Source organism: Homo sapiens, chromosome 1, assembly GCF_000001405.40.
Source record: "Homo sapiens chromosome 1, GRCh38.p14 Primary Assembly".
NCBI lineage: Eukaryota > Metazoa > Chordata > Mammalia > Primates > Hominidae > Homo > Homo sapiens.
In genome coordinates, this window is record NC_000001.11 from 246,942,773 (window position 1) to 246,959,786 (window position 17,014).

Here is a 17,014-nt window from a genome sequence, read left to right on the forward strand (position 1 = left end):
GAATCAGTCTCAATAAGACATGCAATGACATTGTTGGTGAAGTCGTTAAGTACTTTTGTAAACATTATTTAATTAGAATCATTTCTTTCCTTTGGTATTTTTGGGGGCACACTTCAAACCTGCACACTGTCAACCTCCTGGAATGGAGAAGATCTGAAACAGCATCTCCAACTTCGTGTCAGCCTTCAACTCCCCCGAGACCATCAGGCGCCCACAGGCCAAAACATCCAGAGTGGGCCATGTGTTATCCTAGACCAGACTCCTAACACAAATGCAACAGGTTCAACCCCATTAGCACATTTATTTTTAAAATTTATTTTGAGATGGAGTCTCATTCTGTTGCCCAGGCTAGAGTGCAGTGCCGCAGTCTCGGCTCACTGTAACGTTCGCCTCCCGGGTTCAAGCGATTCTCCTGCCTCAGCCTCCCAAGTAGCTGGGATTACAGGGTCCATCACCACACTTGGCTAATTTGTGTACTTTTAGTAGAGATGGGGTTTCACCATGTTGACCAGGCTGGTCTCGAACTCCTGACCTCAGGTGATCCACCCGCCTCGGCTTGCCAAAGTGCTGGGATTACAGGCGTGAGCCACTGTGCCTGGCCTAAAAACTTTTTTGTAGAGGCGAGGACTCACGATGTTGCCCAGGTTGGTCTCATACTCCTGGCCTTCAGTGACCCTCCCACCTCAGCCTCCCAAAGCACAAGGATTACAGGTGTGAGCCACTGGACCGGCCGGGAAACAGCGTATTGAAATATGAAAAGTCCTGAATTTGGGCAAAAAATATGTAAATTTGAATTTTGATCTCTGGTGCTATCCTATGCAACTTGTGCATCCATAGATAAAGACCTTAAGCTAGCCAAGCCTCAGTTACCTTATCTATTGTGAGGATTATGTGTGAAAATACATAGTAAGTGGAACTGCTACCAAATATGTGCAATAGCAAATATTGTTCTTATTTCTATAGCTTCAATGAGTTATCTGATACGCAACAAACTGTGATAGTATGGAAGATATTTCTCCATTGCTTTGGATGAATTATTCTACGTAAATGTCAGGCTATATTGAATCACTGTATTATGATTTTTCTTTTGAGTTGCTGGTCATTGGTTTGGAATGTTAGTCGACCTAATGTATAATTTCTTATATAAATAATAGATTATCAGAGTCAGGCCCCTAAAAATTACCTACTCCATCTTGTTTCAATGGGAAGATTTTTGCTCAACATCATTTTTAGTTTTTGGTAAACCTAGCCAGAACCACCAGTGGTCCCTCAGTCCCTGTCTCTCTTTTTCTTCTTTAGAAGGAATTACCCTTATGACACAACTGCAAACAAAATAAAATCTATTATCATGCCCACTTTAAAACATCAACATGGATAATTAGATAGGAAACAAAACATGGTTTACGTATGAAAGAGAAACAAAACACTTCCAGCTTAATGAACTAGAAATAAAATCTTCCACTATAATTGCCACTATTATCTGATGTGTTAGCACCAAGTTAATCAAAGGGGCACTCCAGACAAAGGAAGTTAATGAATCATGGTGCCATCTGCACATGCTTGAGAAGCCTGGTGCCTTGAAATAGGAAATACAACAAGGGTCCATTACAGCATCCATCACGCTATGTTCTAATTACTTTTTATAAATTATTTTCCCGACTACACTGTGAGCTTTGTTAGGACAAAAAAAAAAGTCTTTGTTGGCCGGGTGTGGTGGCTCACGCCTATAATCCCAGCACTTTGGGAGGCCGAGGCGGGTGGAACATAAGGTCAGGAGTTCAAGACCAGCCTGGCCCAAATGGTGAAACCCCATCTCTACTAAATATACAAAAATTAGCCGGGTGTGGTGGCGAGTGCCTTGTAGTCCCAGCTACTCAGGAGGCTGAGGCAGGAGAATCACTTGAACCCGGGAGGTGGAGGTTGCAGTGAGCCGACATCGTGCCACTGCACTCCAGCCTGGGTGACAGAGTAAGATTCCATCTCAAAAAAAAAAAAAAAAAAAAAAGTCTTTGTCATCTTTTTTTCCTCGGTGTTTAGCAAAGCACCTAGCATATAGTCGGCATTCACGGGTTTTTTTTTTTAGATTCAGGGTCTCACTCTGTTGCCCAGGCTGGAGTGCAGTGGTGCTATCATAGCTCACTGCAACCTCAAACACCTGGATCAAGTGATCCTCCTGCCTCAGCCTCCCAAATAGCTGGGACTACAGGCATGCACCACCATGCTTGGCTAATTTTTAAAATTTTTTTGTAGAGACAGGGTCTCCCTATATTGCCCAGGCTGGGTTGTGAACTCTTGGCCTCAAGTGATTCTCCTGCCTCAGCCTCCAGAGTCACTGGGATTACAAGCATGAGCCACCACACTCAGCTGTTTTTGTTTGTTTGCTTGTTTGTTTTGAGTCGGAGTCTCGCTCTGTTGCCCAGGCTGGAGTGTAGTGGCACGATCTCGGCTCACTACAACCTCTGCCTCCCGGGTTCAAGTGATTCTCCTGCCTCAGCCTCCCAAGTAGCTGGGATTACAGGCGCCTGCCACCACGCCCAGCTAATTTTTTTTTTTTTATTTTTAGTAGAAACGGGCTTTCACCATCTTGGCCAGGCTGGTCTCGAACTTCTGACCTCGTGATTCACCTGCCTCAGCCTCCCAAAGTGCTGGGATCACAGGTGTGAGCCACTGCACCCAGCCTTTTTTTTTAAAAAAATGAATGAATACACTACATCTGTGTAGTGCAGAAAAAAAGTGAAACACTAACAAAATAATAAAAAAGAAAATTAAAAAATGAATTAATACATTTTCTTTTCTATTCATGGAGTTAGGACAACCAAATGAAAAGGGAAAAAAAGAGATATCTCAATAAAAACCAACATGGAAGAACAATCTTCCTTTCATATTCATCAGAAATAGATTCTGTGGGAGGCATGTTTTAATTCAGAACTCGGGCTGACGCAGCTGGACCCGGTGTAAATTCGCCTCACGGAGCAGGGAGTCCAGGCACTGTGTTCAAGCAGCGACGGAACCTCCGCAGGGTCTTCAAAGCAGCTCGATGGTCGACGACTGGACCCTGAAAAAAAGAAAGAAAGAAAAGCAGCTTAAGGTTCCGAGTAGCTCCTTGGGATATGATTTATGCTGAGGTGTTAAACCGGTTCTGATTGAAGACTTGGTTCCATTGGAGAAGTCTGTCTGTCCCTTGCCATTTCAAATTCACGCAGGTGTGAGCCACTGCGCCCAGCCTCTGAGAGGTTTTAGATGGCAAAAAGATGAAGCAATCTAAAGTTATACGATAGTTCCATAAATACGGGAGGTTTGAGCTTTTATTTTTTAGCTCATTGTCTTTCCCCAGAAGGATGTGCAATGAAAATGCTCCCCGTGCCACACCGGCTGAGGCTATCATCCTCCCGCCGCTGCATTTTAGTCCTTTGACCTTCCTAATCCCACGTCCCATCCCATCTTGATTGCTTTCTGATTTTTCTTGAGTCTACCTATCACTATATGACAGAGCGTCTTCTATCTACACCATGAAAATTTCTCCCTACAACGTGACTGTACTTTCATTCTCTTCCAAAGCCTTTGCCTGTTCTTGCCTTGCCACTTTTCTGAACCACGTGGTCCCTATTATGTTCTCAATTCTTATGCGGTCTGATTTCTTACTCATTTTTAGCCTTCTGATAAATTTTCATACCCTCTCGGACTTTTACTTATTTCCTGGCATTTTATGTAGCCAACAATTGCACTCATTTGTGAAGGTTGAAAGGAGGGGTGATGAGCGAGATGGCATCTGGCTGGCAGCCAGGCGGGCCCTCTCCCGGTGACAGCACCACAAACCTGGCTCCAGTCTTGCTCTTGGAGAAAACTTGGTCATGCCAGGACTCCTAGAGCTCATCTGTCTCAAGGAGACTGACTTGTGGGAACCACAATCCTAAGAAGTGTATCTAGAAACCAAAATTCTAACTTACTGATTGATAATAGTGGATATTTCTTTGCTTTAACTGGGATTCCTGTAGGCCTGATCCAGAGAATCCTCTCTTCAGATAGTGAGATGTGTGGGAAACCGAGTAATCAAAATATGGCTTGGTGAACATGAAATCAAAGAGTAGGCTGTGCGCGGTGGCACACGCCTGTAATCCCAGCACTTTGGAAGGCCAAGGCAGGCAGATCACGAGGTCAGGAGATCAAGACCATCCTGGTTAATGCAGTGAAACCCCGTCTCTACAAAAAATACAAAAATTAGCCGGGCGTGGTGGCGGGCGCCTGTAGTTCCAGCTACTCCGGAGGCTGAGGCAGGAGAATGGCATGAACTCGGGAGGTGGAGCTTGCAGTGAGCTGAGATCGGGCCACTGCACTCCAGCCTGGGCGACAAAGCGAGACTCCGTCAAAAAAAAAAAAAAAAAAATCAAAGAGTAAATGGGGTGATAGGGTTTTTTATTTTTTTTGGGGGGGTGGTTTTTTTTTTAGAGACAGACCCTCCCTTTGTCGCCCAGGCTGGAGTGCAGTGGCCGTTCACAGGCACTGTCATGCCTGTCATATAGTGTGCACCATAGCCTCACACTCCTGGGCTCAAACAATCCCCCTGCTTCAGCCTCTTGAGAAGCCGGGACTATTGGCATGCACCACTGTACATGGCTTGTGGGGATTGTTTTGAAGGTTTGGGAAGCCTGGTGACTCACAATTGCCTCTCAACAGAGAACAGTCTGTTCTAGATCAACACAGCCAACTCTGGGTCTCCGACTTCCTTTCCCGCACTACTGCCATTCTAAGCACAAGGTCATTCCACACAGGGCAGAGTACAACAGATTTGGGTTTTTGCTGATGAAGCGACAATCAGGCTTTTCTCCCTGGCATTGTTTCTGGGACACTGTGAGTGGTATATCGGGCGTTTCCATGCATCTCAACCACACGTTTATTCACAGTCTCTTGATTTAATCCCACGGATGGATAATTCTATCCATAATGGGTACAGACATCACTTGTTTTATTTTCAGAGGACAATCTTATGTCTTACTTTAATTTCTGGTGCTCACCTCCATGAATTACCATGTACCAGTATCACAGCCTTCTATAATTCTAATGGAACATTTAAGTAGCTATTGTTTTTCTAATATAATATACATGCTGCAAAATTATTGCAAGGAACGGGACAAGGAAAGCCCTGTGGCAGGAGAAAATTCTGCAGAGTTGTTTGCTGAGGCCATGATTTCATTCCTTGAATACTGGAAGGATAATGTGGTATTGGGAAAGAGCACAGTTTGCTTGGAATTCTGTCTCCACACTCATTACCTGTGAGGCGATGAGTGACGTCGTTGACCTTTTCTTTTTCTTTTCTTTTTTGAGACAGGATCTTACCCTGTCACTCAGACTGGAATGCAGTGGCGTGATCTTGGCTGACTGCAACCTCTACTTCCCAGGCTCAAGCAACTCTCCTGCCTCGGCCTCCTGAGTAGCTGGGATTACAGGCACTCACCACCACGCCTGGCTAATTTTTGTATTTTTAGTAGAGATGAGGTTTCACCATGTTGGCCAGGCTGGTCTTGAACTCCTGACCTCAAATGGTCCACCCTCCTCAGCCTCCCAAAGTGCTGGGATTACAGGTGTGAGCCACCACGCCTGGCTGTAGTTGACCTTTTCTAAGCCAATGCCACTCCAAGTGTGGATCCCAAACTGTCTGTACGAGGCTGCGAGGAGATAAGGGGCTTGCACCAGAAAATAAAATGAGCCACGCCACTCAACACACTACTTAACTTGGCTGACTTTTTTTCCAAAGTCAGACTTTCTCAATGAAGGAAACAGTACCTTGATTTACATTCTGTCCCAGGTTCCTTGGCAATAAAATTGGAAAATAATACTAACTTCACAGGGCTGCCACTGTAGAGATTAAATTAATGGTGTTGCATGAAAAGTGTCTGGCACGATGTGTGTACAATAAATAGTTGTTTTAGTGTGTCTGAGTTGCACAATTTAGCACTAAGAGCAAACTTTTCAAGCAAGTTTATAACCAGCAACAGGCTCATAGAAGACAAGAGAGGTAAGAGGCTAAGGGCTTTATACCCTGCCATTCGCCTCATTGCTCTGAAGACCCTAAGCCTTGCCTCTCCCTAAGCATCTATTCCCTCATCTGTAAACTGGAATAATAATAGCGCCCACCTCACAGAGCTGTTCTGAGAACGAAATTACATACCCTATGTACAATACCTAGAATACTGCCAGATATTTAGTAGGTGTCTGATGAATATTAGTTTCCTTTTTTGCACTTCAACAGCATTGAGGATGCTTTCAAGAATATTTGCATGATATTTAAGGAAACAGCTATCACATGCAAAACTTTTCTAATGCTAACAGCAACTCCAGAACTCCAGAAAAGAATTAAAGATTGGAGTAATGAAACAGAAGGACCCTGCTGGTAAAAATGAAAACAGGAATACCATATGATGGTATTTTCTTTTAAAATTAATTCTGTGAGAGGCAGGTGGAATTTTTAGCTCTGGTTCAATCCATTTATGTTGGATCTAGTGAGACTAGTATCTCCTCCTAAAGAGCTCTATCTCTTGGGCCGGGCCTGGTAGCTCACAGTTGTAACCCCCACACTTTGGGCGGCCGAGGCAGGCAGCTCATCTGAGGTCAGGAGTTCAAGATCAGCCTGGCCAACATGGCGAAACCCCGTCTCTACTAAAAAGACAAAAACTAGTCGGGCATGTTGGCACATGCCTTTAGTCCCAGCTACTTGGGGGGCTGAGGCAGGAGACTCGCTTGAACCCAGGAGGTGGAGGTTGCAGTGAGCCGAGATCATGCTACTGCACTCCAGCCTAGGCGACAGAGCAAGACCCTGTCTCAAAAAAAAAGAAAAAAAAAAAAAGAGCTCTATCTCTTGAACCCTGGGGTTTCCTTCCTGACTGAGCTGCATGTTCTTATTCTTACAGGTTCCCAACAGTGACTGATCTTTCCACCTCATCAAAGGTCCCTTACTTCCCCACGCCTTCTTGTTATTGAGTTTGTGGTCAGTGTGACTTTTTGAGATATAATTTTTTTTACTTTGCAAACAAATGGAAAAGACTAATTACTTTTCTTTTATATAGTATAACCATCAATTACATACTAACAATTTTGTATGTGTCTTTAAATATAATCGTATAAAAGTGACATTCTGTAGCAGGAAAATGTATACAGAATTAATTCGGCTTCAGATTTACGGCTTAAGTAATATTTTTATTATCTTATGCCACAGAAGAGATATTTGTGTCTTTATTTTTAAAGTGGCTATGTGCCTCATTTTACGAAATAAAATCTTATTGTACTAAAGTCATATACTAGGCTTCAGTTACTGAAAGCCAAAGGAGGTCATGAGTTCCTGATGTAACTCACCAAAGAGCCTACGGATTAAAAGGAGAATATGTTTCCCCACTTTTATCTGGTTGCCTCCTGCTTTTGCTTAGTTTCATAATTCGTGACCTTTTGGGAGAAAGACAAAATTGGTGTGTGCTTATGACCAAGGACTATGCTTGAATATACAACTAGGAAGGCCTCTCAAATGGTTTAAAAATAATTACTGAAAAGATTCAGACTTGCCATTCTTTTTGATTATATATAATCCTTTAAAAATAATCCACCCAGGCCAGGGGTGGTGGCTCACGCCTCTAATCCCAGCACTTTGGGAGGCCAAGGTGGGCGGATCACCTGAGGTCAGGAGTTTGAGACCAGCCTGGCTAACACGGTGAAATTTCATTTCTACTAAAAACATAAAAAATTAGCTGGGCGTGGTGGCACGCTCCTGTATTCCCAGCTACTCGGGAGGCTGAGGCAGGAGAATTTCTTGAACCCGGGAGGCAGAGGTTGCAGTGAGTAGAGATTTCGTCACTGCACTCCAGCCAGGGCAACAGAGCGAAACTCCGTTTCAAAAAAAAAAAAAAAAAAAAAAAAAAATCCACCCAATATAGAAACAAATGACAATTACAGGGATTTGTAAAGCTATTAACATTTCATTGCTCTCCTGGCTCTGTCTCTTCCTAGTTGAGCAGCTTTGGACAAGGTACTTGACCACTCTGTCTCGGTTTCTTCATTTGTAAAATGCAAAATGACAGTAGTTTCATCCTCCTAGGATGACTGTGAAAATTAAATGAGTAAACTTGTAAAACAGTAGCTATTCTTATGACCACTCCAAATTGAAAAATATCAAACAGGTATACCCTGTTCCTCCAAAGTCATGTCAACTTGTTTACTATCAAACAATATACAGTTAGTAATAAAACAAAGGTATGACTTCATGTCCCTTTTGTTACAGAATGAGTGCAATTCATATTGTAGGAATATTGTGCTTTTTACTCAGTTTAAGTGTTGTCATATAGTTGGTCTGAAATGGAGGCACCGAGACACCCTCAGTATGTGTCATTATGTCATCATTATAAAAATCACCCTAGCCCTTGGGCCTGGACTCTTGGTCTCTGTTATGCGCTGAACTGTGTTCCCCAAAAAGGTATGCTGAAGTCCTACCCCCAGTATCTCAGAATGTGACCTTTTTCGGAAATAGAGGCACTGCAAGTGCAATTAATTAAGTCGTCATGCTGGAATAGGGTGGGTCCTCATACAATCAGAAGGGAAAACAGACACGGAGGGGAGATGGCCACGTCGAAGGTGGTGGAGGTTGGAGTGATGTTGCCACAAGCCAAGGAATGTCTGGGGCTACCAGAAGCTGGGCGAGGCAAGGAAGGATTCTTCCCTAGAGGCCTTGGCAGAAGTCAGGCCCTGCTGACACCTTGATTTCAGACTTTGAGCCTCCAGAACTGAGATAATACATTTCCGATGTTTGAAGGCACACCATTTGTGGTGTTTTGTTATAGCAGCCTTAGGAGACTATTACACGCTCCTAGACCAGAAACTAGAACAAAGAGGCAAGTCTCAGGTCAACCACAGAGGCCCTGGTCCTTAGCTACAACGATCCAAATTGTCAGGAAAGCCAGCTTCTGTGTGGAAGATCCTTCCTGTGGGAACTGCTGAGACCTGGTAAGCCAGGTGCTGGCACAGCTGGGCCAGCCCTTTGGGACTAGAAAGGGATAGAATGAGCCCCATAGGCTTTGTCAAAGAGGTTTCCCTGACCACCCTACCTAGAGTGCACCTTCTCCCCCCGCTCTTTGTCCTCTTACCTTGCTTTTTCTTCACAGCACCAGTTCATCTTTGTTTACTGTCTGGCTTCCCAAGTACCACTATATATTTTTGAGACAGGGTCTCGCTCTGTCGCACATGCTGGAGGGCAGTGGTGTGATCTTGGCTCATGGCAGCTTTGACCTCCCAGGCTCAGGCGATTCTCCCACCTCAGCCTCCTGAGTAGCTGGGACTACAGTCGTATGTTACCACATCTGGCTAATTTTTGTATTTTTAGTAGAGACAGGATTTTGCCTTGTTGCCCAGGCTGGTCTCGAACTCCTAGCCTCAAGTGATCTGCCTGCCTCGGCCTCCCAAAGTGCTGGGATTATAGGCGTGAGCCACTGTGTCCAGCCCCCAAGTACCACTTCTACCACCAGAGTGGAAGCTCTATGAAAACAGAGACCACAGATGATAATTTCAAATTTTCTTTAGTGTCCTTTGTATTTTGCACAGGTGATTTAAACATTTTATTTATTTTGTGTCTCCTTGCAGTTTGCAAGTTGTTTTCCTCTTTAATCAGAAAAAGGATATTAAAAACTGTAAGCTTTCTATAAAGTTTTGTTCACAGTTCATATCTCCAGCACATATTAGGTATTCAATGAATATTTGTTGAATGAATGACTAGAATAAATAATGTTATGCTTCTTCTTCTTCTTTTTTTTTTTTTTTGAGGCAGGGTCTCACTCTGTTGCCCAGGCTGGAGTACAGTGGTGCAATCACAGCTTACTGCAAGCTTGAACTCCTGGGCTCAAGTGATCCTCCCTCCTCAGCCTCCTGGGTAGCTGGGACTACAGGTGCATTCCAGCATGCTGGTGTTATGCTTCCTTTATTCTCCATATTTAATTCATCTTTTATTCCTCAACAGTATTCAGCAACTTCTTTTCAGAAACTATTGATTTTTGGCCAGGTGCAGTGGCTCACATCTGTAATCCCAGCACTTTGGGAGGCTGAGGCAGGAGGATCACTTAAGCCCAGGAGTTCAAGAGTTCAAGACCAGCCTGGGCAACATAGTGAGGCCTTATCTGTATAAATTTTGTTTTAAAAAAGAAATTATTGCCAGTCTCAGCCACAATGAAGGAAACCTAGGAAAGGATGTGACCCTACTTGAGCCACAATTTAGAAGGGCATGTCCACCCCACAATCCTCTGAGGTTCCCAATGGCTGGACTGTAATACTTCCCTAGGCTTTCGGTGTAATACTAAGTTTGTTCTACTCTACTAGATATTTTCTTGTCATACGCTCAACTTCAGGCCTCCTTTGGAGGGAGGCTTAAGGGAACATTGGCAGATTCCAACGTATTTAAATAATTAACATGACATTCCTAGCTATTGTTTTATTCATTGATGAATTTTGGAATGTCATTACAAATTGTAAATTTGGACCTAGATGCTGATTGCTTATTTTCAGAAAACCTACAGAATAACCTCAGTAATAAAAACAAAGTGGGCCACGCCTGTAATCCCAGCACTTTAGGAGGCCGAGGCGGGCGGATCACGAGGTTAGGCGACCTAGACCATCCTGGCTAACATGGTGATACCCCGCATCTAGTAAAAAAAATATAAAAAATTAGCCAGGCGTGGTGGCACACGCCTGTAGTCCCAGCTACTCGGGAGGCTGAGGCAGGAGAATCGTTTGAACCCGGGAGGCAGAGGTTGCAGTGAGCCAAGATCGCACCACTGCACTCTAGCTCTGGGTGACAGAGCAAGACTCCATCTCAAAAACAAACAAAAAAACAACAAAGAAATGGGCCCTGCGTAGTGGCTCACGCCTGTATCCCAGCACTTTGAGAGGACAAGGTAGGTGGGTCACCTGAGGTCAGGAGTTCAAAACCAGCCTGACCAACGTGGTAAAAATACAAAATTACTACTAAAAATACAAAAATTAGCTGGGCATAGTGGCAGGCACCTGTAATCCCAGCTACTCAGGAGGCTGAGGCAGGAGAATCACTTGAACCCAGGAGATGAAGGTTGCAGTGAGCTGAGATCACGCCACTGCACTCCAGCCTGGGCGACAGAGTGAGACTGTCTCAAAACAAACAAACAAACAAGCAAAAAAAAAAAAAAAAAGAAACCCGAAAAACAAAGAAGCCTAAAAACTCAGGGTAAGTGTAGAGCTTGGGACTCTGCTAAGACTCAACAGTGCCCTAGAGGATAGCCATTCAGTATTATCATAAATCCTCAAGTCTTCCATTTTGCCATCCTTAAAACAACTGTTTCTGAGCACAGGGACACTGGCACATGAATGAACGAATGACTTCAGTTTGTCCTCAACTGTCTTGCCAATCAGGCCAACCTTAAAGCTACAGAAGGAGATTGTCCTGAATTTCCCTGAGAGCCAACGGCACTAACAACTGTTAAACCAGAAGAATAAAAACCCAAATATTGGCACACACTCCCCAAACATGTTGTCCAGCAGTTGAAAGCCAAGGACAGGAACAGGCAATGCCTGCCAGCTGTTCCAGGGGAAAGGGTCCAAACTGATCTTAGACTCAGCTTTGCTTGAGTTCAGCCCGAATTGCTGGAGAAGATCCACCAACCTTCCAGTGGCCTAAGATTGATCCAAAACTGGCAGTCACCGTTCCCCAAAGGTGATACTATTATTTCAGCTCTCACAAGAAAACCCATGTAACTGGAAGATGAAGAACAAAAATCAGGATAACACAAGATTCTGATTGTCTTGTCTAATGTACAGGATTTGGAATCAGGCTTCTATATATGGAAACCATGTGTGTCTAGAGCCTTAAGTTTCATGCAAATTCCTGTAAAATGATCACTGATCAGATCATCTGTAAAAATGTGGAATCTGGATTAGACGATCTCTCAGGCCACTTCCAGCTCGAAACTCTGACTTGCTATCTCTATATTCTTATAGGGTTTTCTTGCTCACTAAGTTTTTAGGAAAATAATAACTGAGAAAATAAAAATTTAATACAGTCATACAGTCATCTCAGGATACATTCTGAGAAAATCATTGAGTGTACTTACACAAATCTATATAGTATAGCCTACTATACACCTAGGCTATCAGGTAAGGCCTTGATATGGTTTGGCTGTGTCCCCACCCAAATCTCATCCAAATCTCATCTTGAATTGTAGCTCCCATAATCCCCACGTGTCATGGGAGGGACCTGGTGGGAGGTAATTGAATCATAGGGGGAGTTTTTCCCATACAGTTCTCACGACAGTGAATAAGTCTGCACGTGCTTTCTTGCCTGCCACCATGAAGATGTGCCTTTGCTCCTCCTTCACCTTCCACCACGATTGTGAGGCCTCCCCAGCCATGTGAAACTGGATCCATTAAACCTCTTTTTCTTTAAAAATTACCCAGTCTTGGGTATTTCTTCATAGCAGTATGAAAATAGACCAATACAGGCCTATTGCTCCTAGGCTACAAACCTGTACAGCATGTTACTGTACTGAATAGTGTAAGGAAATCATCACACAATGGTAAGTATTTGTGATAGAAATTTTTCAGCTCTATTGTAACCTTAGGGGATCACTGTCGTCTATGAGGTCCATCATTGACTGAAACTGTTATGCAGTGCTTAACTGTATTATGTGACAAAATGTGTATAAGTAATTTTATTTAATTAAGAGTAGAAGCTCTCCCGCAGTGTTCTCATATACTCTAAACTCTAAAATTATCATTCTACTCAGTATTGCTGATCTCTTCATTGAGCTTGTAAACAAACACCTACACAGAACAGAACTAATTAATTTTAATCTAAATCCATTTTCTTTTGTACAAAGGAGGCTTTTTCCCCAAGATTTGTTTCAATCCTTTAGCCTAAAATGATAACGCCCTATATTTACCTAGCGATGTTAACTTTTCAAAGTCCGTTCTTTTCTACCATCTCTCTAGAATGTAGGCTCCTAAGAGTACTACTGTCTTCTGGACAATGTCCAGCACACAGAAGGTGCTCAGTGAGTCCCAGCTGAAGAAAGTGAATATGATGCTCACAAGAACTCCCTGGGTAGACAACGGTCTCATCACTAACCCCTTACTTGACAGATTTAGGTACGGAGGCACGGGAGCCAGATGAGGACATTAACCAAAGATACCCACATGCCAGATATTAGTTTGGATTGGATTTTTTTTTTTTTTTTTTTTTAAGACAGAGTCTTGCTCTGTAACCCAGGCTAGAGTACAGTGGCATGATCTCGGCTCACTGCAACCTCCACCTCCTGGGTTCAAGCAGTTCTCTGCCTCAGCCTCCCAAGTAGCTGAGATTACAGGCTTCGGCCACCAGTCCCGGCTAATTTTTTTGCATTTTTAGTAGAGATGGGGTTTCACCAAGTTGGCCAGGCTGGTCTTGAACTCCTGACCTCGTGATCGACCAGCCTCGGCCTCCCAAAGTGCTGGGATTACAAGCATGAGCTACTGTGCCCGGCCGATTGGATCATTATTTTTAAAAAAATCTATAAAAGATGGTCATGGGGGCCGGGCGCGGTGGCTCATGCCTGTAATCCCAGCACTCTGGGAGGCTGAGGCAGGCAGATCACTTGAGGTCAGGAGTTTGAGACCAGCCTGGCCAACATGGTGAAACCCCGTCTCTACAAAAAATACAAAAATTAGCCGGGCCTGGTGGCAGTCACCTATAATCCCAGCTACTCAGGAGGCTGAAGTAGGAGAATCACTTGAACCCGGGAGGCAGAGGTTGCAGTGAGCCGAGATTGTGCCGCTGCACTCCAGCCTGGGGGACAGAGTGAGACTCTGCCTCCAAAAATAAAAAAAAGATCATGGGATAATTGGGGGTATGTTAATATTGAATTGCCCATTCTATGTTATTAGATATCATGAAACTATTATTGTTATTATTTATTTTTATTTTTGTAGAGATGTGGTCTTGCTGTGTTGCCCAAGCTAGTCTTGAACTCCTGACCTCAAGTGATCCTCCCACCTTGGCCTCCTAAAGTGCTAGGATTACAGGCATGAGCCACTGCGCTGGGCCTATTTCTTGAGATGATAACGTTGTTGTGATTACTCAGTATAACGTCCTTATGCTTAGGAGATGCATGTTGTGACTGTAATATTTACAGGTGGTATCATGATATGTGAAATGAACTTTCTATTGGTTCAGTAAGAAAAAAAGAGATAAAGCAAATATTGAATTAATAAAATGTTAGTATTATCTGCATCTATATGGAGAATAAATGGTATTCTTTGTACTACTCTTTCAAGTTTTTAATTAAAAATTGGGAAACAGGCCGAGTGCGGTGGCTCATGCCTGTAATCCCAACACTTTGGGAGACCGAGGCCGGCAGATCATGAGGTCAAGAGATGGAGACCATCCTGGCCAACATGGTGAAACCCCGTCTTTACTAATAAATACAAAAAATTAGCTGGGCGTGGTGGTGCACTCCTGTAGTCCCAGCTACTCGGGAGGCTGAGGCAGGAGAATCGCTTGAACTAGGGAGTTGGAGGTTGCAGTGAGCTGAGATCAGGCTCCTGCACTCCAGTCTGGGCAACACAGCGAAACTCCGTCTAAAAAAAAAAAAAAAGAATTGGGGAACACAAGCAACGAAGAAACCACAGCAGAAAATCGTATGTCTGACTATAAGAAAACTTTAATCTTCTCTAATTATGGTTAATTTGGGTGGTAGGACTATATTGGACTATTCTTTTCATCTTTTTCTAAATTTTCCACGTGAGCAGATATTTATAATAAAATATTTTAAAATTCAAATTATGTAGCAATATGAGATAAACCTTCAATACCTTTCTAGAAACACATTGTGGCAGATTGGGTTTTTTTTTGAGATAGGGTGTCACTCAGCTTGCCCAGGCTGGAGTGCAGTGGCATGATCTTACCTCACTGCAGCCTCGAGCTCCTGGGCTCAGGTGACTCCTACATTAGCCTCCCCAGTAGCTGGGACTACAGGTGCACACCACCAAGCCTGGCTAATTTTTTGTATTTTTAGTGGAGACAGGTTTTGCCATGTTGCCCAGGCTGGTCCCAAACTCCTGGTCCTACAGACGTGAGCCACCACACCCAGCCTTGTATTTTCTAAAGATGGTTGCACCTGTATATTTATTACTACATGCATCCTACATGCCTTTTCTATGATGAGTCTGACACTTCTCCCACAGAGACGTTGGATCTATGTTTCTTCTCTTTGAATCTAGGCAGGGACTTGGTTTTTGTTTTGTTTTGTTTTGTTTTTGTTTTTGTTTTTTTTTTGAGACAGAGTCTTGCTCTGTCGCCCAGGCTGGAGTGCAGTGGCGCGATCTCGGCTCACTGCAAGCTCCGCCTCCCGGGTTCACGCCATTCTCCTGCCTCAGCCTCCCGAGTACCTGGGACTACAGGTGCACACCACCACGCCCGGCTAATTTTTTGTATTTTTAGTAGAGACAGGGTTTCACCATGTTAGCCAGGATGTTCTTGATCTCCTGACCTCGTGATCTGCCCTCCTCGGCCTCCCAAAGTGCTGGGATTACAGGCGTGAGCCACTGCACCCAGCCGGGACTTGTCTTATGATTGCCCCAGTATTGAAGTTTGGCAAAAAGTCACAAAATATGTGACTTTGAAGGCTAGGTCATAAAAATGAAGAAACCTCCATTTATTTTTCCTTCTCTCTTGGGATCCTTACCCTTAGAACTCAGCCATCACATAGTAAGGAGACTCAGGCCACAGACAGGTCTAGTGAGGAATTCTGGCTGACATCCTCAGCTAGTCCCCAGCCATGAGCAAGCATCAGCTGCTGTCATGATCCTGAGTGAATGATCCCTCAGAGTCCAGGCGCCAGCCTTTGAGTCTTCCAGCTGATATCCCTGACAATGTGGGTCAGAAACCAGCCATCCATTCTACGCCTGGTGTGAATTTCTAACCATGGAAACGGTGCGAGATAATACACGATGTAACGCATGATTGTTGTACTTTAAGCCACCCCATTTTCGGGTGATTTGTTATGCAGCCATAGTAACACGCGGGGACAGTGAAGTCCTCTAAGGTGAAAAGTGTGTTTGCTATTGGTTTAAGAAAGCGAGTGCCACTCACGGGGAAGAAGAAGTGTCTTGTAAATTATCACTAATCTCCTCAGATGTCAATGAATCAGATACTGTAAATTATCCTTACTCTCCTCAGATGTCAGCGAATCAGATACTGTGTCTTGGCCAGGTGCGTTGGCTCACACCTGTAATCCCAGCACTTTGGGAGGCCAAGGTGGGATTGCTTGAGGCCAGGAGTTTCAGACAAGCCTGGGCAACATAGCAAGACCCTGTCTCTACAACAAAATTTAAAAATTAGCCGGGCATGTACCTGTAGTCCCAGCTACTTGGGAGACTGAGGCAGGAGGATTGCTTGAGCCCAGGAGTTTGAAACTGCAGTGAGGTATGATCTCACCACAGGACTCACTCCAGCCTGGATGACAGAGTGAGACCCTGTCTCAAAAAAAAAAAAAAAAAAAAAAAAAAAAATATATATATATATATATATATATATATATATATATATATAAAATCTCTTTTCTGAAAGAAGCATTTAAATGTTGAAAACACATTATCTGCTTATTCTAGAACCCAAAATGGGCATTTTTTTTGTTTTTGTTTTGAGACAGAGTCTCACTCTGTTGCCCAGGCTGGAGTGCAGTGGCACAGTCTCGGCTCACTGCAACCTCCACCTCCTGGGTTCAAGCAATTCTCCTGCCTCAGCCTCCCAAGTAGCTGGGACTACAGGCGAGCGCCACCATACCCGGCTAATTTTTGTATTTTTAGTAGAGATGGGGGTTTCACTATCTTGGCCAGGCTGGTCTCGAACTCCTGACCTCGTGATCCACCAGCCTCAGCCTCCCAAAGTGCTGGGATTACAGGTGTGAGCCACCGTGCCTGGCCCAAAATGGGCATATTTTTAGAACCTAGACTATTGAGCTTGTCACTTTTTCTTACAATGTGC

The 17,014-nt window shown here is 43.9% G+C and overlaps 1 protein-coding gene and 1 long non-coding RNA gene across 3 annotated transcripts in view; both read right to left on the reverse strand.

Moving 5' to 3' along the window:
- Window positions 1-2,773: 2,773 nt before the first annotated feature.
- Window positions 2,774-17,014, reverse strand: part of ZNF670-ZNF695 (ZNF670-ZNF695 readthrough (NMD candidate)) — a 133,266-nt gene continuing 119,025 nt past the window's right edge. Inside the window, exon 7 of the long non-coding RNA NR_037894.2 lies at window positions 2,774-3,055. This is a non-coding gene — a long non-coding RNA (ZNF670-ZNF695 readthrough (NMD candidate)). The remainder of the gene's footprint in view (window positions 3,056-17,014) is intronic.
- Window positions 2,774-17,014, reverse strand: part of ZNF695 (zinc finger protein 695) — a 62,512-nt gene continuing 48,271 nt past the window's right edge. For both annotated transcript variants that reach the window (NR_037892.2, NM_001204221.2), the window contains exon 6: window positions 2,774-3,055. Coding sequence is in view for 1 of the 2 variants with exons in the window: in NM_001204221.2 (NP_001191150.2) it covers window positions 3,025-3,055 (31 nt within the window). In the remaining variant the exon portion in view is untranslated. The remainder of the gene's footprint in view (window positions 3,056-17,014) is intronic.